This window comes from Homo sapiens, chromosome 12 (assembly GCF_000001405.40).
Source record: "Homo sapiens chromosome 12, GRCh38.p14 Primary Assembly".
Taxonomy (NCBI): domain Eukaryota; kingdom Metazoa; phylum Chordata; class Mammalia; order Primates; family Hominidae; genus Homo; species Homo sapiens.
Window position 1 is genome coordinate 117566299 of NC_000012.12, and position 23558 is coordinate 117589856.

General features: G+C 45.9%; 1 protein-coding gene across 8 annotated transcripts in view, besides 1 other annotated feature; it reads right to left on the reverse strand.

Moving 5' to 3' along the window:
* KSR2 (kinase suppressor of ras 2) overlaps positions 1-23558 on the reverse strand; it is a 515979-nt gene that overhangs the window by 113287 nt on the left and 379134 nt on the right. For 7 of the 8 annotated variants that reach the window (XM_011538224.4, NM_173598.6, XM_011538225.4 and 4 more), the window contains exons 6-7: positions 15992-16061; positions 12821-12904 (exon numbers count right to left, since the gene is read on the reverse strand). In XM_011538224.4, coding sequence (XP_011536526.1) covers positions 12821-12904; positions 15992-16061 — 154 coding nt within the window. Of the gene's footprint in view, positions 1-3226; positions 3283-12820; positions 12905-15991; positions 16062-23558 lie in introns of those variants that run through there. The other variant, XM_017019210.3, reaches the window with a different exon arrangement.
* Positions 17512-18012: an enhancer, noted in NCBI's record as "H3K27ac hESC enhancer chr12:118021615-118022115 (GRCh37/hg19 assembly coordinates)". NCBI's record gives its function as "activates a minimal SCP1, AML or CMV promoter by ChIP-STARR-seq in primed H9 embryonic stem cells {active_cell/tissue: H9 hESC(primed)}" and the evidence as "EXISTENCE:reporter gene assay evidence [ECO:0000049][PMID:30033119]".

Below are 23558 nucleotides of genomic sequence, written 5' to 3' on the forward strand. Positions count from 1 at the left end.
TTGTAGAGACAGGGTTTCACCATGTTGGCCAGGATGGTCTCAAACTCCTGACCTCACGTGATCTGCCTACCTTGGCCTCCCAAAGTGCTGGGATTACAGGCGTGAGCCACTGCGCCTGGCCTGCCCCCCTCTTTCTGTCTATGTGTTCTCATCATTTAGCTCCCACTTATAAGTGAGAACATGTGGTATTTGGTTTTCTGTTCCCGCATTAGTTTGCTAAGGATGATGGCCTCCAGCTCCATCCATGTTCGTGCAAAGGACATGATCTCGTTCTTTTGTATGGCTGCATAGTATTCCATGTATACCCATTTTTAAGTCAAGAAGACTGGGGTCCAGTAACAAGCTCAGTCATTCAGATAGTGATGGGCAGAATTGGGACAATTCATCCCTGCATGCCCACAAGAAGACACTGTGTTCCTCCTCTGTGCCAAGGGCTATGCTAGGCACTGGAGGTATAATAATTAAATAAGACAAGAATTCTTTCTTTAAAGATCTTGCAGTCTAGCAAGAAATTTACTGTCCAAGAATGTAAACCCATCTCTTGTGGCTTCAAGCATGAACATCTCTCTACTCATCCTACTGCGCCCAAATTGCCTCTTATAAATGAGCCCAGCTGGATTTGAACCAGATTTGGGGAGCTTATATTGTCAAGAACCGCTCTCTCTGCAGAGGTCCCTACTGAGATCTACTCAAGCAACAAGTATTTACTGAGCATTTACCATGTGTGCCAAGCACTGTGCTGGCGCTAGAGGTTTAAACAGTGAACCGTCCAGAAATGAGATGGCCCTGCCTTCAAAGAGTTTAAAGTCTGGTCAGGAAGACAGGCAGGTAAATAGACAAATAAAACATAGTAGTATGTAATATGGTGTGACAGAAAAGGGCAGAAGGTGGCACTTCAGATTTGAGGGGAGTCAGGGAAGGCTTCCCGGAGGGAAGTGGTGGCTGAGCTGAGCTTGAAAGATAAATGAGAGCCAGCAGAGGTGTGCAAGAAAGATCCAGGCAGTAGCAATGGGGTGCAAAGACATGTCAATGAGTGGGCACATGACCTGCCACGGGGATTGATGGCTCGGAGAAGCTGCAGCTCTGGGCATGAAGAGGGGAGAGATGCGAGGGGACAGAGGAGTAAGCAAACATGGCGCGCGGTCTCGTCATGAAGTTGGATTTCGCCGAGAGCAAGGGGGAGCTAATGAAGGATTTTAAACAGGGAGGGGAATGCTGGCTAAGCATTTTGAAAAGACACCCTCTGGCAGCAGAAACTTGCAATTAAAGGGCAGCAAAGTTCCCCTCTCATTATCTTCCCTACTCTCTGTACCTGCTTTCCTTTTCCAGGTCACTGCATTAAGTGTTCCTGAAGGCTTCTCGCAAAAAAAAAAAAAAAAATCACGAAACCGAATCCTTGCCCCCTTTGCAGCAGGGCTTGGTTCACTGCATACCCCAACTGAGCATTCTGGTCTCATGTGAGTTCCCCTGTGGTCTCTTGTTTGAGCCAATGCTTCTAGAAATGACTCCGTACGCTCCAAGTGCAGGATATCAAAACCAAAAGTGCAGGTTCACTGCATACCAACTGAGCATTCTGGTCTCATGTGAGTTCCCCTGTGGTCTCTTGTTTGAGCCAGTGCTTCTAGAAATGCCTCCGTATGCTCCAAGTACAGGATATCAAAACACCCTTTCCCTCACTGCTAACAACTCAGTGGGGTCTAGCTCTTTAGCCTATAGCTAACCACAATACAAATGAGCAAAGGGCGGTAGGAAGTATTGACATATAAATCAGACCTCGGGTTCCAAGGACATCATGAAAAATCACCAGGAACCCCCAGCACTTTTCTCTCCATAAAAGGACACTGTAAGGGAAGCTGTAAATGTATTACTTGCTGTACCCTCCCTCCTCTCCTCTCCCTCGCCTTCCCTGAAAAAGAAGAAAGCGACTGTAGAGTCTTCTTGGCTCTCTGAACCCAGAGGTGTTCATCAGAACACAAAGATCCATTTGTCATCTTTCAATTCAAGAAAGGATGATGGGAGCATGTGGCAGGCTGGGGGAGGGATGAGGAAAAGCTTTGGTCCAGGTTGGAATTGAGACCAAATTCTTATACTCTGTTCTGCTTGTTTAGTTAAAGGGCAAGCAGAGTGACATGTAGCATTTATTGCCGGCCTGCTGTGTAGCCAGCCCTTTGCCCGTGTAAAGCGGTTAAAAGTCTGGGATCGTGAATCTGAGCGATCAGTGGGTTTGAGTAACAGATCCACACACCGTGACACTTCGAGCCGGCTGTTTACTTCTGAAGGCCTCTGTTTCCTCGTCTGTAAAATGGGGGTAATAATAGACCCTACTTTCCATAGTTGTGGCAAGGATTAAATGAGATCATGCATGTAAAGTGTTTAGCAAAATGTCTGGCACCTGGGTGAGCCCCCAATACATGATAGCATCATCATAATTATCATCATCATTATCACATCTAATCCCACCTCAGCCCCCAGTAGAATTATAAGCATCCCTCAGATACAACTATAATTAGACCTAAATTTTTGCTTATCATAGGTAAAAACGCATATATAGGATGATTAACTCCCATTATAATTATTGCAAAAACTGAAGTGTTTCTATTAATAGAAAAGTAAGTTCAAGATTCAAGCTGGTGATCTCTGAAATACTTGCTCATAATTATATCCTGCCAATATCCTGCCTGTTGTACAAACTCCCAAAGCTTCCAGGAACTTCGCAGCAGCTGCGACATCAGCACTCATCATTTCCCCACTTTTTAAGGTCTGGGTAAATTAGTGCAATGGTGGCTCAAACCAGCCATGGCTTACTTCACACTTTTATCTCCTCATCACCTGTGGCTGCAGCGATTTTGCAAAAAAATTGGACATTTTTAGGTAAAATATATTTTGTTGCAAGAACATAGGAGAGCAGAATGCACAGGGCAAGAGAGAAAATCAAGATGTGCTTGGTTTTGCTGTGTTATTTGACATTTTCACTTGGATTTTGATGTGTACAAACCCAAGTGAAAAGATCCACTAACACGGCAAAAGTCAATTGAGAAGTGCATGGCTTATTTAAGTAAAAATTATTAAAGTGACTGTTTACATAAAAAGAAGTAGGTACAAGCATGTCTGGCCAGCCACTGCAGGCAGGAGGAAAGAGGACTCGTATAAAGGCCATGAAAACACCACTGAAATACACTGGAAATCTTGTGCTGGTTAACTCAGGCTTCCAAACACCATGTCTTACCTTACTAGGGGAACGAACATGGGTCTCACTCCTACAGAAGTGGGCAGTAACCTCAACTGGAACATAGGAACATATAAAATGTCTTTAGTTAGTAAAGACCTACGTCTATTGTAAGGTGGCTAACCTAGGCCTGACCGAAGGGTTTCTAGGCACTTGGGAATCTCAGTGCTAAACCTCAGAAAGTCCCAGGCAAACTGGGATGGTTGATCACCCCCTTGTATAATAGGGATTATAATGCCTATATCACCCTATAACTATAGAGTGGATCACCCTGTAGTTCACCCTATAACCTGAAATATATATAAGGATTCACCCTATAAGTTGACTGTTTGAGTAATGAGTCCAAGCACAGGTCAAGCAACTGCAAGTTCACATTCTAAAACTGAATAATGCACACCATAGCCCCATGGCGTAGGAATGAGTAGCTCTCTCCTGGGGGCAGTTTGGACCCCCAGGGAACATTTGGCAATGTCTGCAGACTTTTTTTTTTTTTTTTGAGACAGGGTCTCGCTCTGTTGCCCAGGCTGGAGTGCAGTGGCGTGATCCCGGCTCACTGCAAGCTCCGCCTCCCAGGTTCACGCCATTCTCCTGCCTCAGCCTCCCCAGTAGCTGGGACTACAGGCGCCTGCCACCGCGCCCGGCTAATTTTTTGTATTTTCAGTAGAGACGGGGTTTCACTGTGTTAGCCAGGATGGTCTCAATCTCCTGACCTTGTGATCCGCCCGCCTCGGCCTCCCAAAGTGCTGGGATTACAGGCTTGAGCCATCTGCAGACGTTTTTGATGGTCACAACTGGGAGTGAGGAGGGGGTGCTACTGGCATCTAGTGGGTAGAAACTGTAGATGGTGTTAAACATCCTCCAACGACAGGACAGCCCCCACAACAAAGAATTATCTGGCCCCAAATGCCAATAGTGCCAAGGTTGAGAAAAACTGAAATAAACCCTATAACATGTCTTCCAAGAAGTTGGCTGATTCAGAAAATTCTGAAGGAAAAGCAGAGAACAAGAACTACAGAAAAGGCGAAAATGGGCTAAAATTTTCCAGAACTTCGATGTTGCTTCAACCCATGGAAGCGATTTAGTGGGTCTGTTTCTTTTTATACTTTGCATTCATATAAAGTCGGGTTTTGCAACGAAATAAATGCTGAACAACGTATTTAAAGATTCTAATTTGAAAGAATTCTCAAGTCATTATTATCGGGGCATGAACATATCTCATCACATGGAATGAATGTGTTAGCCTCACTGTGTATCAGAGAGGTTTAGAAACCTTCCTAGAGTCACACAGCGAGGGAGTGGCAGGGCCAGGACCTGAACTCAGCTCTCTCTCTGCAGTCTGTATCCTTGCTGTTGTTTCACTGTCATAAGTTGAGTTTTGTAGAAGCAGATCCTGAAATGAATATTCTTGCAAATGATTTATTGAGGGAGTATGCTCAGAAGAAACCTATTCCAGCCAGGCACGGTGGCTCATGCCTGTAATCCCAGCACTTTGGGGAGCCGAAGCAGGCAGATCACTTGAGGCCAGGAGTTTGAGACCAGCCTGGCCAACATAGTGAAACCCTGTCTCTACTAAAAATACAAAAATTAGCCGGACATGGTGGTGGGCACTTGTAATCCCAGCTACTCAGGAGGCGGAGGCGGGAGAATTGCTTGAATCCGGGTGGTCGAGGCTGCAGTGGGCCGAGATCATGCCTCTGTACTCCATCCTGGGCAACAGAGTGAGACTCTGTCTCAAAAAAGAAAAAAAGAAACCTATTCCATTGTGGAGGAAGCAAGGTTGGGAGTAGGGAGAAGCCAGGCATGGATGTGGTTTCAGGTGAATCCAGTCTCAGCCTCATCCCATGGGGATTTCTGCAGGAAAAACTGTACCATAAAATCTATTTGTCTCAAGGTAAGGAGGCTGGGATTTTGCACCCCTGAAAAAGGTAGTCACTGGCTCTGAACCACCTGGGGAAGGGGGAGGGGCTTAGTCTCAGGTACCTGGGTGAGGCAGCTGCAAGGTACGAGCCATTTGCTGCAGCCTCTGTAGCAGTGGCTGGTCAAAGAGATCACTGGAAATCTGATCAGAACACAAGATGGAAGTGGGTGATGTAAGACTGTGACCGCTGGCCACTGAGTTTATAATAACATCCTGTCTTCAAAGCAGAGGAGTGAGCGCTCCTTGGTCCTAGGGAAGAATAAGGCTCAAGCATCTATGAAGTACTCTGAAATCCCTTAGTTGATCAGACCCTTCGAATCTAAGGCCCTGAGAGCAGGTGACTCGGAGAATATCACAATTCCTAGTGTGTGTTCCTCACTCTGCCACCCACAGGAAGGGTGATCTTGACACCAGCATGCTCCTCCCCATGGTCCTGTCCTTGGCAAACAACTCACTCTTGGGATGATGAGAGCCTGAGTCCAAGATCGCTTTTCTAGGAGTGGGTCTGGCTGGGCACTGAGCAACGCCTCCCACCCCCATCCTATCCCTGCCTGGAGCCTCAGGTAGCAGCAGCCTGAATCATGGCAATAACTGGCCCACCCTGAAGCTGCAAAGCAGAACCCATCTCCGCTCTCCCCCAGTCCCTGCCTGGTGCAAACAATTGCAAAATATGCTCAAGGCCTTTAACGTCCCAGTCCAAGCTTTTGCTCAGGCTGTTTCCTCGGCCCAGAGCACCCTGACGCTGCTTCGCCTGGCTAACTCCTCTTCCTTCAAGACTTAGCTTCAAGGTCCTCCAGCAGAGTACCCTGATGTGCATTACTGCATCCACCCGACCTTGATGTAGCACCACAGCACTTCCACACTTAAGTACAAATACGAAGTATCTGGGATGCTTAGTAAAATGCACGTTTCTAGGCCTTATGCTCAGAGCCTGGTCCAGGAAATCTGCAGACGGGCTCAGGAAGTGGCAATGTTAAGCTTGCACCTTGATCCCGAGATAGGTGGGGCCAGGGCACACCTTGAGAACTGACAGTGACTGTGAGCATCTCGAGGACAAGTTTTTCTTTTTCACCCTCATACCCCGAGTGGCAGCAAAGAATCCCCACATGCTCAGAGATGGCTGAACTAACCAGAACCAAAACATAATCTGAGAAGAGAAAATGGGTAGCTAAAACAAGCATAGGAGACAGTTGAAATGCTACTTATCCACTGGTGGTTTTGGAAGATGTTCCCCTCTCTTCCACACTCCAGCCCATTAAAAAAAAAAAAAAAAAGAGAAAAGAAAAAGGAAAAAGCACCTCTGTTTAAACTCTCATTTTCTAGAGCAGGTGTCACCCAAATCACGTTGTGCATTTTCCTGCAAGAAATGCAGATAGGGGTAGAGAGGTTTCCAAGGAACCAGATCTTAGCTCTGCAGAAATTTGTGGAAGGACCCTGAGAAGGGGGAAGAATGCAGATGACACATGATTGAAGGCTGGGAAATCCATCAGCATCTTACTGCAAAAGCAAACTTCTGCCAGCTGAATCCAGTTATCAGACAATATGTGAATTGTGCTGACATTCTACACTCAGAGCTAAACTCCATTCCGCTCTCATGAACCTATTAGATGAAAACGCCTCAATTTAGATAACTGCAAATTGCTTTCGGAGTCTTAATTTCCTATTAGTTCATTAATCTCTCTATTCAGAATGCCAACAAGACAGCTAATGATAATTCCGGAGGAAGTGGGCATTAAATCGGAGCAGGAGGGAAGGGGGTTAGACATGAAGGAGATGTTTCTGGCTTCCTGGGTGGAGGGTACCCCAAAGTTAATTCATAAAGTTAGTAACAGCATTAGCTTACATTAATTAAACACTTCTAATGGACTGGGTACAAGGATGAACATGTCATTGAACAATTACCTTACCTGTTTTTTGTTGTCGTTGTCGTTGTCATTAAGCAATCTAGTAAGGTGGATATTATTATCCCCCTTCTACAAAACAACTGATACTCCAGGGAGCCACACAACCAGTTGGCAGCAGAGTCAGGGTTCAAATATAGGCGTGTCTGACCGGCAGCCTGTGTTCCTATCACATGTTATCTTTTTTTTTTTTTTTTTTTTTGAGATAGGGTCTCACTCTGTCACCCAGGCTGGAGTGCAGTAGTGCAATGTTGGCTCACTGCAACCTCCACCTCCTAGGTTCAAGTGATTCTCCTGCCTCAGCCTCCTGAGTAGCTGGGATTACAGGCGCCCATCACCAAACTCGGCTAATTTTTTGTATTTTTAGTGGAGATGGGGTTTCACCATGTTGGCCAGGCTGGTCTCGAACTCCTGACCTCAAATGATCCACCCGCTTCAGCCACCCAAAGTGCTGGGATTACAGGCATGAGCCACCGTGCCTGGCTCCTAATCACACGTTATCATTTGGTCTCATCACACCAATATTTACTGGATGAATTTGCTGGGGAGATGATGATGAAAAAGATTCCTATCTATAGAGTGAAGCTAAAGCGTGTAAGAACAGAAGAGCCTGAAAAACCATCAGCAAAGACTTACACAAACATCTCACATTATGAAATGTCCCGCTGGGCAATAAAGCTTGATTTTGTTTTTTAAACCACTACTTCTAATGTAGAGTGGTGGTTTGCAAACTGGGGTCCAAGGGCCAGCAGCCTCAGCATGGCCTGGGAACTTGATAGAAATAGACATTCTAGGAGTCTGCCCCAGAGGTATTGAACCTGAGATTCTAGGAGTGGAGCCCAGAAAACTGTTTTTTTTTTTCTTTTTAATAAACCCTCCAGGGGATTCTTGTGCACACTCAAGTTTGAGAACCATTATCTAGAAAATGAAAAGTAGCTCAGGAAAGAAATTTGGAGATCACCTAGAGAAGTGTTTCTCAAACTTTAATGTGCAAAAGAATCACTAGGACTGTATCAGCCTGCTTTCATGCTGCCGATAAAGACATCCCTGAGACTGGGTAATTTATAAAGAAAAAGAAGTTTAACGGACTCACAGTTCCATGTGGCTGGGGAGGCCTCATAATCATGGTGGAAACCCAAAGGCCGCGACAAGAGAGAATGAAGAAAATCAAGCGAAAGGGGTTTCCCCTCATAAAACCATCAGATCTCTTGAGACTTATTCACTACCACAAGGACAGCATGCAGGAAATGGCCACCATGATTCAATTATCTCCTGCCGGGTCCCTCCCACAACACGTGGGAATTATGGGAGCTACAATTCAAGATGAGATTTGGGTGGGAACACAGCCATTGCATTTAAGACCATCTTAAAATGCAAATTCTGATTTGGCAGGTCTGGAGTGGGCCCCAAGAATGTGCATTTCTAGCCAGGTGTCAGGTGACGCTGATGGTGCTGGTCCAGGGACCATGTGTAGAATAGCATGAGGCCAGTCCAATCCCTGTCACCCAGGGAGTTTCTGGCAGTAACAGAACTGGATTTGCTCTGGGTGAAAAAAAAAAAAAAAAAAAAATCACTCCCTCCAGGGAAGGATCAAATCCAGGCTTCGGGAAGGGCTTTCAGAGGACAGGAAATGACCCAGATCACACACTACTACTTTTGCAAAGTTCTCACTCAGGTATGAGACCATCCCTCACCACTTGAATTGAAACTGCAGCCCCCATCCTGATCCTTCTCTGCTTTGTCCACCTTCTTAGCATTTTGCATCATCTTATCATATGACCTAATTTACTAATTTACTTACTGTCTGCCCAACTCCTACCCATGCCCCAGCATAGAAACTAGGGAAGGGATTTTGTCTCTTTTATTCACTCTTGTTTCCCCAGCATCTAGAGTTGTGCATGGTGTATATATAACAGGTGCTCAATAAATATTAGTTGAATAAGTGAACAAACGGTTCCGCTCATTTTCTACAAGAAGCTGCCTCCCCATCCTTGGTGTCACCTCTCTGAAATGTCACCTGTCACGGCTCTTTATGTGTACACTTTCATTTTATTGACATTCAGTTTCCATAGGTGTGTCTCCTGTAAACTCCTTGACAGTGGGGTCTGTACATTTCCCATTTCTAGCCCTCATCCAACTCTTCTATCAGCTCATAAGTGCATCCAAAATTCTGCCAATCTTTGAAAACACATATAAATAACCCTCTATCCTCACTATAACTAATGCAAAAACTGCAGGAATTTAGTTGTAGAACACGTCTCAACTTCAACTGGTGATATTAGCAATGCATGCTCATAATTATGTACTGGAGATAGCTCTCAATTCTGTTGTAGTTTCTGCAAGCACCATGTCAAAACTCCTGAAGCATGTCAGATCTTCATGTTTTGAATTTTTGGTTTTGAATTTTGTCTCTTATATGCCAGGAGTCATTTTTGCACAAGACGGAATAGGGAAGAATGTTCTCTGATAAAACATTGCCATCTGGAGCATGGACATTTAATTGACTCCTTCCAACAGCCCTGTGGTGGGCACTAATGTCACACTTGTGTTGTAGAGAGAGACACTGAGCCCTATGATGGCACACCTCTGCTTAAGCTCACACAAGAGTTTAGTAATGGAGCTGGGACCCAAACTCAGTTCTGACTGCTTCCAAAGTCTGTGTTCTTGAAGCTTACCCCCCCACCCTATCCCTATCCTTCCCACAACCTCCTCTCCCAACCCTTGGCAGGGCCTAAGGCTTTGCTCATGACTTTTAGAACAGAGAGCACTAGCAAAGGCTACTTCTGAGTTCTGCCTCTAGTGCTGAAAATTAAAACGGCTTGGGAAGTGTTCAGCCTCACTACCCCAGCTACATCCCTGTCATCTAATTACCTGCCTTCAAAGCCTCCACACGGCAGGTATGAGGATGTAAGAGTTGCCATTACCCCCACGGAATGTGGTGGGACTAGATACAGATGAGTCTGTATCTTCAGACTTCAGAGCTGCTGGTGTATGGAGAAAATCAGTCAGCCTGGAGGCCAGACCTAAAGGCCCAGCCTTGTGCCTTTTGTTGTCAGAAAGACCACCTGAGAGCCTAGGTTCACAGAGGACCAAGGCAAGGAAGGTGGCCTTGAAGTACTAATGCTTGGTAATTATTGCTCCTGCTTCTCCTTAAAAAAAAATTTTTTTTTTTGAGACAGGGTCTTGCTCTGTTGCCTAGGCTGGAGTGCAGTGGTGCAATCACAGCTCATTGCAACCTCAAGCTCCTGGGCTCAAGTGATCCTCCTGCCCCAGCCTCCCAAGTATCTAGGACCACGGTATGTGCCATCACTCCTGGCTAATTTTTTACCTTAATTTATTTTGTAGAGATAGGGTCTAGTTCTGTTGCCCAGGCTGATCTTGAACTCCTGTCCTCAAGTGATCTTCCTGCCCCAGACTCCCAAGTAGCTAGGACAACAGGCATGTACCATCATGCCTGGCTAATTTTTAAATTTTATTTATTTGTGTGTGTGTGTGTGGATGGGGTTCTCACGATGTTGCCAAAGCTGGTCTCAAACTCCTGGGCTCAAGTGATCCTCCTGCCTCAGCCTCCCAAAGTGCTGAGATTACAGGCATGAGACTCTGCATCTGGCCTGTACTTCTCTTTATACCACTGGGGCTTAAGGCTCCCCACAACTCCAGGAGGAAAGGATGCTCAACCTTATCATTACTCAGGTGAGACTGCCAGGTGGAGGATATGGACAGGGGTGGGGCAGAGTGGGTAGAGTGAGAGCTTGCCCTTGCCGTTCTCTCACTTCTATCTTGGGGCAGGGATGTGGGGAGGCCTGAAAGGGCCTAAATGAGAGGCCTCTGCCTGGACTAGACAAGGAAGAGCAAGCCTAGAGCAGAAGGAGGAGTTCTCAGAATCTTTTAAACTAAATGACTTCTATAAAGCAAACAGATGCACATTCATTTGTAACTATTACATAAAGTTGACTGTTACTATTTTATAGTATTGGACCTGAAGGGGTACGTAATACATGTTTACAGAAGGAGAGAGAGAGAGGGGGGGAGAGATTGAGGCCAGATAGCAAGGCACTGCAATTTCTTACAAAGGACTGGACTGAGCGAGGCACTGTGTTATGTTCTCAAGTGTGCTGATTTATCAAATGCTCACTGCCACCCAAGGCAGGCAAGATTATTATATTAGTCTGTTTTTATGCTGCTGATAAAGACATACCCATGACAGGGTGATTTATAAAGAAAAACAGGTTTAATGGACTCACAGTTCCAAGCAGCTAGGGAGGCCTCACAATCCCGGTGGAAGGCAAAAGGCACTTCTTACATGGCAGTGGCAAGGGAGAATGAGAGAACCAAGCAAAAGGGGTTTCCCCTTATAAAACCATCAGATCCCATGAGGCTTATTCACGACCACATGGACAGTATGGAGGAAACCACCCCCACGATTCAATTATCTCCCACCAAGTCCCTCCCATAACATGTGGGAATAGTGGGAGCTGCAATTCAAGATGAGATTTGGGTGGGGACACAGCCAGACCATATCAATTATTATTCCTTTCACACAGATGAAAATACTAGGGACAGAAATGTGAAGTGACTTGCCCAAGGTCAGGCAGCTGCCAAGTAGCAGAGCCAGGATTTAAAACCAGCTTAGTCTGACTCCGGAGCCCACATCTGGCGTCTCAGTTTTCTTCTTCCTCCCTACCTTTTGCTAGCCATGACCTTGAATGGGGGTGTGGAAGAGAAAGGAAGCTTGGGGAGGCAGAGCTTGGGTGGTACGGCCTTCTCATCAAAACTCCAGACCAATATGATACTACAGAAGGTGAGCAGAAAAGGAGTTAGGGATCTGGGTTCAGGTCCTGACTGTCACTTCTTCACAGTGACTTTTCATTGCTAGACTCAGCCTTCACATCTGTAAAATGGGGATAATTACAAGGCTGGTTTAAAAAGGTACCATGAGGAGAAAGAAAAAGGAGAGAAAGGCTTGGGAGCCAGGCACGGTGGCTCCCGCCTGCAATCCCAACACTTTGGGAGCCTGACGGGGGAGGATCACTTGAGGTCAGGAGTTCGAGAGCAGCCTGGCCAACATGGTAAATCCCAGTCTCTACTAAAATTACAACAACAACAACAAAAAGCCAGCATGGTGGCACAGGCCTGTAGTCCCAGCTACTCAGGAGACTGAGGCAGGAGAATTGCTTGAACCCAGGAAGTGGAGGTTGCAGTGAGCCAAGATCACACCACTGCACTCCACCCTGGGTGACAGAGCAAGACTCCATCTCAAAAAAAAAAAAAAAAAAAAAAAGAGACAGAGAAAAGGAGTTGGCAAATTCTAACTCAGGGATCAGCAAATTACAGCTGAGGGCCACAGCCAGCCTGCAGTCTGTTTTTGCAAATAAAGTTTTATTGGAATAAATGAAGTTGTCAAGACTGTTTCTGTATTGTTTACGGCTGCTTATGGTCTGCAAAGCCTAAAATATTTACTATCTGGTCAACTCGAGTAAGAATTTGCCAACCCCTGGCCTTAGATGTTATGAAAACGAGAAGTATCACTGTGCCTCAGCACACAGCATTAGGCATTTCCAGGATCTTCCATTAGCTCTGGTTCTTATTCAGAATTGCTCTCCCTTGACCCCCTACCCAAACTTACAGGTGCATTTCCAATCTATTTCTGAAAAACAAAGCAAACAACTCTCCCAAGAGTGAAGAAATCAAACTCCCAAAGGCTGTTCAGTGCCCTGCATGGTTCTAGCTGACATCGGGTGCTGCGAAAAGTCACTGCAGGGCACAGTCACTTACTTGCAGTTTTTACACTTGAGGCCAAAAAGCATCCCTTTCCCACAGACTGTGCACGTCTGAGACATCCAGTACTTGGTGGAAAACCTGTGGAAAAGAGACAGAAAATGTTCAAGGTTAAGGAAATGGCGACTGACCTATCTCTAGAGGGATGAAGTACTTGAAGAGCAAGCACATGAACCCTGGATTCCAGTCCTGTTTCTTTCGAGCTGTGTGACTTAATCAAGTTGCTTAAACCACTGGAACCTCAGTTTCCCCATCTGTTAAGTCCAGATAATAACAGTATTGACCTCATAGGTTGCTGGAGAGATTAAACAAGGTCAGGCATGTCAAGGGCTTCGTACAGTGGCTGGTACATAGTAAGCACTCGATAAATTGGGTTGTGACTATACTATTACCTTGAACTTTCGTAAGGGTCATTCATTTGTTCAACAAATATTGCCTGGTGGCCTACTATATGCCAAGGTCAGTTCTGGGACAGAGCAATGGATAGGGCTGGAACTGCCTGTAGAAAGCTACAAAGCAAGGTGGAGCCTCCTGGGGGACCAGCTGAACCATCTCCCATCACTTGCCGGTCATATCACCTGGGGAGTATCAAAGGGAGCCCTCCCCTCCTGAAAGAGCTGAGACCCCAAACCTTAGTGGCAGAGAAGAAACCTTGAAAGTGAAAGCCATTCAGACCATCAGCTCACCTCGCTCTCCAACCCCATCCACTTGCTGCAAACTTGAGCAGTTTGGAGGTCTCCTGTGTACAGCGATAAACCAACTGGAGCAGAGGTGCATTCGATTAACTCCCTGGGCACATCTCCCCTCGATATTGCCAGGGTGCTTTCTTCCCCAAGAGATATGAGGCAGCAGCAGGACTGGGCCCAAGAAAAGTACTGAAGGTTGCCAGGTCACTGTTAATTTTAATTTTCAATTTGTGTCACCGTCAGCAGGAGTTATATCTAATCTCCACTGCCTCAGAGTGTCAAAAGGGAAATCGGAAGTGGTTATGTAACTTGGAGTCTGAGAATTTCGAGGGAAAGGTTGCATCCCTCTGCTGGACCGTTTTGCCTGATTTGGGTCAGTCACTCTCCAAACAGAATAAGCCACAGCCCAAAGCCTCCAAATCTAAGCAAATAGCAACATTCTGAGCAAAGACACTTACTGCCAAGAAAACTCTCCCTCTCTGGTTTTGGATTTGTGAGTTGGTCAAGCCCCTTTCTTTCCCTTCAGCAGAGCCAGTGAGTTTAGCAGACTCTGTTTTGCAGAATTTGGCAGCTCTGGGGAATGGCGGCGAAGGAGCGTGTATTTCACTCATCAGCCAGCCACATAGGAGTGGCGGGCAGGCTTCATAAGCAGTGGGTGACAGTTTTTTCTCCTTTCCAGACCTCTCTTGTGCTTGGGATCAGCTCTGCCTCTTCCCCAGCTCTGGCTGAAGTGACTCTGATGGCAGCAGATGGGATTTTAATTTCATTTCTTCACCAAGGCTGGGGTGAGTCCAGTTCTCTCTACCTCCTGGCATTAAGCCCAGGGAGAAACATAGGGAGAGACTGAAGAGTAGCAGGTCATCCCAAGTCTCAGCTCCTCTGGGAAGACATTCCTAAAATTAATAGGTTGTTTCCCTCCTCTGGGCATCAGCTTTTGAATCTTAGGGACTACCAGAGAGCCTGGGGGCTGGACGATCTAGGGGGTGGGGCTGAGCCAGGGGCATGGCCAATCCAGGGGCCGAGCTGAGCCAGAGGAGTGGCTGACCCAGGGGTGTGGCCGAGCCAAGGGCGTGGCTGAGCCTGGGGCGTAGCCAATCCAAGAATGGGGATGAGCCAGGGGCAGGGCCAGTCCAGGGGGCACGGTTGATCAAGGGGCGTGGCCAAACCGGGGTGGAGCAGAGCCAGAGAGCAGTGAGGAGGAAAATACAAAAAAAGGCCCTTGTCTTTGATGCCTTTCTCTCTGCAGCTCAAGGCCTGACCATTGACGTGTCTATCACACACTTCTCACTTCTTCCTCCAACGTTTTCTCATTTAAGTCTTAACAACTATCCTGTCAACATACTTCTTTCAAAAACTGTTGATGAGATGCCATTCCATGAGTCCCCATCGTGAGAATGCTCACCTCCTCCATGCCCCCAGCTATGGTGATGCATCTGCCCCTGATATCACCCCACCTTGTCACCCCGATCTCTCCATACTGTCATGGTCTGTTAACTATCTGACCCTCCCCTAGACCACGAGCTCCCCAAGGGAACAGGCCTTATGTCTTGGTCAGAGCTGCAACCATGGCACAGAAACTCTGGAAATATAAGAGGAAAGAATCCATGAATAAGGGAACAGGTCCTCCAGTGAGTTCACAGAGGCCCTGGTGCTAGGAAAACTCAGCAGGGTGTCAAAAGAACACAAAGTACTGAGGCTAATTAGCTTTTCAACCTATCGCTTAATCTTCCAGGGCCTCAGTCTGCCTATCTGTCCAATGGCCATGAGCACACTTGCCCCACTCACCCTGCTAAGTTTGTGAGGAAACTGCAACTACCAAGACAAAATGGGGAAAGCTAATTCAGGGAGTTAAAGGACTTCTTATAAGGGATGCCTGGTATATGCAAACCCCCCTCCCTAAAAGGGCAGGTATAGCCCTGGAGAGGTTGTCTCATGCACCCAGCAGGGCTAGAGCTCTGGACTGAACGCCGCACCAGAGAATGTGCACCTGCAGTCTTGTGTATTCTGGGTGAGAAGACCAAAAATTAGGACATAAAGCATTAATCTTCAGAATGATACTGTTTATTAAGTGTTTGTTATGTGCCAGGCCCTTTACAAATATTATCTCATTTAATCTGCACAGTCACCCTATAGGTAGGCAGAATTACCTAAAGAAAAAATTGAGCCTCAGAAAGGTTAAGTAACTTCCTCAAGGTTGCAAAGCTTTACTAGCTGGGATTGGAACACAGGTCAGTCTGACTCCAAAGCCCTGGCTTTTAACTGCTATGTGCTAATTTTATAAGGGTCAGATTAGTAAGAAGCAGATGTCTCAGTCTCCTGGTTGCCACTTTAAAGTTTAGCCGAGCAGAGGAGAAAGGGACATGGTGATGTAGGTGCTGGAGCTCAATAGCCTAGCCTTCTCTCACCCCAGGGCAGGGGCCAGAGCCCCCACCCCTCACAGAGCTGAGAAGTAGGCACCAGTGCACACAGGAATCCAGCCTACCTGTGCTTGATGGAGTTGCCGAGATCTCTGCGAGGGATCTGCGGGGACCAGCGTGGCACTGACAGTGTGTCTACAGAGAGAAGAGAACAGCCTGTTACACAGAGGGTCAGAGACTGGGGTGGGCTCTGGCAAGGCCTGGAAGGAAAAGGGGGGCTCGTCACCCTCAGGAAGGATACCAGTTGCCATCACTTGCTAAACCAAAGCCAAGTGGAACACTGGTTTAGCTTGTCACCTCAACTGACGCAAGGGCCCCTGGGCAGGGCTGCCAGGGGATGCCTTAAATGAAGCCAGCTGTGGAATGAATAAAAGTGAGCATCACTTCCATTTACGGAGTGCTTGGTGTGTGCCAAGCATGTGCTAAGTGATTCGCATGCCTTAGCTTGCTACATTCTCAAAACAAACCCAAGAATAGGGGTTGCTAGCGTCCTCACCTTACAGAAGAAAAAACTGAGGCTTGGAGAGGGGAAGTCACTTGCTCTAGGTCATATACCTTAGAAGCCGCACAGCAGCTGTGATTTTGGGTTCGAGGAACCTGAAATGAACATGTGCCCTTGCATGAAAGTTAGAGTGCAGTGGATTCCCAGTGCCAGCCATGCAAGTGATGCTTTTCTCATTTCTGCCATGCCTCTGTACAACTGCCAAGTTATTTATTTAACATTTTAGGCTGACTCCAATTTTTTTTTGTTTAAGTACACTTATTTTAAAAAGCAAACCCTATGCAGAAAGCCATATCAATTTCTGTATATTATAGATAATTATTTTAATAATGTCTAAACATGTACCACCTAAAGTTATGCTAGAGTAAGTAGGTGGGTGGATGAGTGGATAGATGAGCAGGATGGATAGGATGGATGGATAGGCGGGTGGGTGAGTAGATGGATGGACAGATGGATAGGTGGGTGGGTAAGTGGATGGATGCATGGATAGATGGATAGACGGGTGGGTAGATGGAGAGGTGGGTGGGTGAGTGGATGAATGGATGGATAGGTGGGTGGGTAAGTGGGTGGATGGATGAATAGATGGATAGATGGGTGGGTGGATGGATAGATAGATGGATGGGTGGGTGAGTGAGTGGGTGGGTGGGTGGATGGATAGATGGATGGGTGGGTGAGTGAGTGGATGGATGGATGGATGGATGGATGGATGGATGGATGGATGGATGGATGGATGGATGGGTGAATGGAAAGATGGGTAGGTGAGTGGATAGACAGGTGGGTGGGTGGATGCATGATGAATGGGAATGAGGAAGAAACAAAAAAATGACTTCAGATGAGATGCCTGTCCCCATCTGGTCTCTTCTTTCATCCCTTAGGCTAAATCTCAGCGAACTGTACTATCACTCCATTACAGACTGAGTTCTGGTTCTCCCAAAGACCCTGTGCACCAGGTCCCACCTCCGCCCTACTGCCCATTGCCCACACCATCCTCCTGGCAGAGCTTGCAGGCCCCAGAGAGCTGTGAAACAACGGCAGCAAGGAACTCGTCCTGCTTGTGGAATCTCCAGGGGACAGGGAGAGAAGAAGCAAGTGCCTGACCCTACACGCCCGTTCTCATTTCTCAGGCCAGAGGGATGGAGCCAGCTCCCTGTTTTTGGAGCTGCAAATGCATGCCTCATTTTTCACAGCAATTGTTATGGAGTGGCACTCTCTTCGGGGAGCCGGGCATGTCAGAACCTATCACAGAGCATTTAACCCCCAACCTACTCGCTCCTCTATTCTGTCTAATGACACCGTCGGCAGCCGTCTGAAAGCTGTTTCCAGAAATCCCAATTCTGCCCTTGTAAAGCTGGGATCCTTTATGAGAGAGCTAATGATTTTCCAAGCCCCAAAGGGCAGAGAAAACCTAAGAGGGAGACAGCATGATTTATCAATCAGAATTATAGCCCGTGGGATTCCTTTAGTTTAACTAAAAACTAAATGTCATCAACCTCAAGCACATTTTACTACTTGTTTCGATTTCTGAGGGAAATAGAAAAGACAAGAGAAAAAAAAATTTTTAAGAGAGCATTCTTTCCATTCCTATCTCTTTTGGGGACTGAAGTCAGATGTGGGAGGAGGGATTCCACCCATTAACTCCTTAAGGTGCTTTCTCCAGTGCGAGGGGTGGGTGGGAATGGGAGGATGGCGCTGGAGAGGAAGGGTTAGCGTCCTCACAAGGAAATCTACAAAACTAGGAGTGCTAAATGGGTTTCATTTCAGGGGCCACTAGTAGTGGCTGCCCAAAGAAGTGTGTTAAAATGGATTCTGAGGCTCAACAGGAAAGGGCACTGAAACTGATTAGCAATGTCTGCCACGGGTGAAGAATAAGATTGTACCAACAGGTCCACATACATTTTCCACCTCTGCAAGAGCAGGAACCACATCTCATCTTTCCATCACCACCTCAAAGCATCGTGCCTGAAGCAAAGTACTTAATACATGTTTGCTGAATCCAAGATTATTATAATAGAAACATCAAGTTTATTGATTACTCAGTAGGTGCTAGGGATTATGCTATGCATTTTATACCTGGAAGCTATCCCTCTGTGTGGTCAGGCTATCATTATTCCCGTTGTGCAAAGGAAAACAAAAGGAGCTCAGAGAAGTGCAGTGACTTGCTAAAGGCCACACAGCCAGGCACCTGCAGATTCTCAATGAATAACTCTGCAATTGTTTGAAAGTCTTCCAGGAGCCCCCGCACCCCCGTTCTCAACCAGAGGAGTGCTCTTCCCCCTAGGGGATATCTGGCAATGTCTGGGGACATTTTTGGTTGTCACACTGTGTGTGTCTGTGTGTGTGTGTGCGTGTGTGTGTGTTACCAGCATCTGGTGGGGAGAGAGCAGGGATACTGTTTAACATCTTATAATGCACAGGGCAGACTCCCATAATAAAGAATTAAACATCCCAAAATGTCAATAGCATCAAGGTAGAGAATTCCTGATCTAGATGCTTCTCTGCTTGTCTAGCCAACTCCCTCCCTTATTATCACCACCTCTCCATCAAAAATCCCCCAGATGGTGCTTCTGAGGCTCAACTCAGCAGAGAACAAATCCTCTTTTATTATAAGCACATCTCACTATTAGGTTCATAGCCTAGTTATTCAGTTATTCTCAATTACAGCTCCCTTCAAAAAATAGATGTAATTAAGTTTAGTAGTTTGGTCTCATTTCCCAATATCTGGTTGAAGGGGTGAATTCTGTCAATTGCATTAAGTGGCTGCAGCATCATTAGTCTCAAGCAATAATAACCTCCACACAGCTTCCTACGTGGGCAAGAAGATTTGAACTTTGAGATCCTCTCTTTGCTTTCTTCGTTTGGATTTTATTAAACTTGCCAATGCAAGCCTTAAAGCAATGGAAAACTGTTGAAAGGGAAGGGGAAAAAATATATGAAAATCCAGGCCTTATCATAACAGAGAAGGCAAACGACATTTACAGCAATTAAACCGATACAGAAACTTCTGCTTAACAATCAAAGCACCTATTAAGATGTCTCCATAGCTGAACAAAAGCTTCTTTTCTACTCTAATTTTCTGATAACAAGTCATGCAGACACAGAGGCAGAATTTTGTGCATCCCTGGTGCCTATGGTCTCAGGAGTAGAATAATAGACATTTCTCCGTAGATATTTTCATTTCTAGTGCATAGAAAGAGAAAGAGGTGGAAGGAGGGAGGATTCTTCTCCCCTTGCACAGGTCTTGCTGTTGATGTCTTCTGAGAAATGCATCTGCCCAGAAGGGGCTTTGCACAGAAGAGGGAAAAGCCAGGAACCCTGGTCTTTGGAATCACCTTAGCAGTCAGAGGGACAAACAGAAGGCCCAACAGCAGGAACCAACATTAACAAAGCATCCACACCACACACAGCTTCTTGATGAAAAATCAGGCTCTGACCTGGTGAATTTGAAAGCTCCCTGACGGATGAGCTAGGCATGGGAAAAATACGTGAGGATATACACAGAGACACAGGTAAAAATGGGTGACGATAAAGGAAAGGAAGAGGAGGAGAAGAAAGAAGAAAATAAGAAATAAGAAAAATAGGGCCGGGTGCGGTGACTCACACCTGTAATCACAATACTTTGGGAGGCCAAGGCAGGTGGATCACCTGAGGTCAGGAGTTCGAGACCAGCTTGGCCAACATGGTGAAACCCTGTCTCTACTAAAAATACAAAAAATTATTTTTGTATATGGCGGGCACCGGTAATCCCAGCTACTCGGGATGCTGAGGCAGGAGAATCACTTGAACCTGGGAGGCAGAGGTTGCAGTGAGCCAAGGTCGCGCCATTGCACTCCAGCCTGGGCAACAAGAGCCAAACTCCGAAAAAAAAAAAAAGAAGAAGAAAGAAAGAAAAGAAAAAAGAAAGAAAAAGAAAGAAAGAAAGAAAGAAAGAAAGAAAAATATAGTAAATCTGCTGTCTGCTGTGTTACCGTGTGCCAAGCACTACTGTCAAACAGACAGACCCTTGACATATATTATCCCATTAATACAAACACTACAGAGTATACACACACATAGCGTATCAGCCATGATCATTAGTGCCATTTCAACAAGGAAATTAAAAAGTTATCCCGACTGCCCAAGGTAAATGCAAGTAAATGCCAGAACAGGGATTTTTAATTGAGCTGTGGCTCAATTAATGGAAGTGAATTTCATCTCCCTTTCACAGATGGGAATATTGAGGCTTAGAAGCAATATGCAATTGTCTAGAGCTGATAAGTGACTGAGTTGGGATTTAAACTGCAGACAGAAACAAACTGGATGCTTTTAGTCCAGAGTTCCCTCCAACACCCTGCTCAACCCATCCTATACTGCCAAGGCCTCCTACCTACCTCTGTCTGGGAAGGACCAAGGAGGCCTGGGAAGTGATGTAATAGCATAATGCTCCTCTCCCACCCAAAAGATGCCCACGTCCTGATCCCTGGAACCTGGGAGTATGTTATCTTATCTGGCAAAAAGAGATGCTGAAGACGTGATCAAGTTAAGGATCTTGAGATGGAGAAGTTACCCTGGATTACGCGGGTGGAACTAATGTCACCATAGGGCCCTTATAAGATGGAGGGAGGAGGGTGAGAGTCAGAGGTCAGAGAAGTGGACATGACAATGAAAGCCGAGGTCAGAGGGATGCAACTGCTGGTTTTGAAGGAGGAGGGGGGACAGCAGCCAAGGCACATAACTAGAAAAGGCGAGAATGGATTCTCCCCTAGAGCTTCCAGAAGGAACCAGCTCTGCCGACACCCTGATCTTAATCCCATTGGCATCCATTTCGGACTTCTGACCTCCAGAACTGTAAGATAATAAATCTGTGTTGTTTTCAGCCGCTGAGTTGGTGGCCGTTTGTCACAGCAGCCATGGGAAACTGACACAGCACCTATCTTGTTCCAGGCATGGTTTCAAGGGGATACGGTGAACGAGATAACCATGTTTCCCGAGTTTAGAGTCTACAGGGGGAAATCAGAAAGTAAATGAGCCAAGAAATAAGAGTCCATGAGGAAAATGAAACCGTACCAACGTTGGGGTTGTTTTAAGGCAATGGGAGCCCCGATGTGCGTTAGAATGGAAGCAGCAGGACGCTGTGCTGGGCAGTATGCATTTAAGAGCTCCCTCTGGCGGTCGAGGGGAAAATAGCCTGCCAGGCTGTAACTGGAAAAAACAGGGAGGGCCTCCCCGCCTCCCTATCCCTGCATCAATGCTCCATCACCCCAACCCCTACCCAGGTCCAATGCTACAGCTCTAACCCTGACAAGACCATTCCTTCCCAAGGTCATTCTCCCAGCACAGGCCTTTCCCACCGGAGCTATCATGATCCCACCCACAGCCCCTCATAAAAAATCCACATCCCATCACTCCTCCATGTCCCTGGGAAAAGCAAAGGGGGTGTACTCATTGGCCCCACAGCCTGTATTATTTTTCAGAAGCCAACAGAGTATTTTTACTTCCTTGGCCATAAAGAAGGGTTTTGTCCCAAACCTACCAACTTGTAGCACTGGAATATCTGCTGTGGCATAGACTGATCTTAGAGGACAGTTCCTGAAGAAATTTTCATGGGATTTGCATTCCCAAACCCAAGCAGGGGAGGATAAAAAGGTAGCCATGGGAAGAAGGCAAAGCCAGTTTTAAAAAATTATTCTTTGCGATTTATCTGCTATGGGGACAAACGATACTAGGCTGGGAGCTTTTGGGGTTTGGGCCTGGGTCTCATCTGTCACTGTATCCCCAAGTGTTGAGCTCAGGATCTGCTCTAAGAATATTAAATGTGTGTTTAATGGACAAATGAATGAATGAACAAATGAATGGACCGATAGTCAAGTCCTGGCTGAACCTGGTGTTTTTCCGATTAATGAGAAACTTACATGGCCCTGAGAGATCGTAGAGATAACTTTATCAGACTCAGAGCAAATCTGAACTTATTTATCCTCAAAATACTCTGTGTGGTAGGGAAGAAAGTACACATTATAACTGTTTCACAGATGGCAAATTGAGGTAGATGTGGGATGTGACCTGCTGTGTGTCTTTGGGCAAGTGACAACCCCATGAGCTTCAGTGTTCTCAGGCAAAAACTGTGAGTAAATATCAGTGCCCACTGTACCTCATTGTGTTGTTTGAAGACTAAGTGGGATAATGCACACAGAGTATTCTGAGCATGAGAGCAATGCTCAGACATATTTACCGTATGTATCTTGCAGCTATGTCTTCATTTAATCCACACAATCTTATGAGTTTGTATCCATAGTTTACAGATAAGGAAAGTAAGGATAACTAAATTGTTCAAAGTCATATAGCTAAAGTTCACCAAATATCATGAACTCTAGAGTTGAACCCAGTTTCCTATAAAATTAAAGCCTTCTATCCAGCTCCATACCATGTCCCCTTCTGAGATAAATGTAAAAATTATCTTAAAAGCCATGCCAGTCTAGAGTTGAAAAGGACCACAAGAAATAGTTTATTGCAGTCTTTGAATCGCTAAACCCTGTTGGATAAATAAGGAGCTACTCTACCCTAAATGTTTCCATGGAGATAAAGACCTCTGAGCACATAATATTATTAAAAATAATAGCTAACTTTTATTAAGCACCTATTACCCAGTGGGACCTAGATTATGTGATTTAGTTGTATTATTTCACTTAGTCTCCATAATTCCCTTTTAGGTGCTAAAGCTCAGGTTTGAACCCAAGAGCTCATCCTCAGAAATACCACAAAGGAACTGGAAGTTCCAAACTGCCCTTAAGCTTCCAGCCCAGGGACATGACAGACTGAGTGAGAACTCAGCAGAGGTGTTGCATTCAAATCAACTAGCAAATTCATTGGGCCTAAAGGTAACTGAAACTAATAAAACTTAGATCATTAAACTTTTCTTTGGAGTCACAGGCCAGTCACCAGCTAAAATCCCACTGATTTATCCAAGGCGCCAACCAATCCTAGACTAAAGCTGCTCATGATATCATTCACATAGCAGAGGATAACTCTATTTGCTTTAATATCCAACTCAAATATATCAGATCTGAAAGTATTTTAATTATGTGCAGTTTCTAAAGGTTACAGCTCCATGATGCTTCAGGGCCAAGTGCTTCTTCATGGAGTTGGACATAATTTTC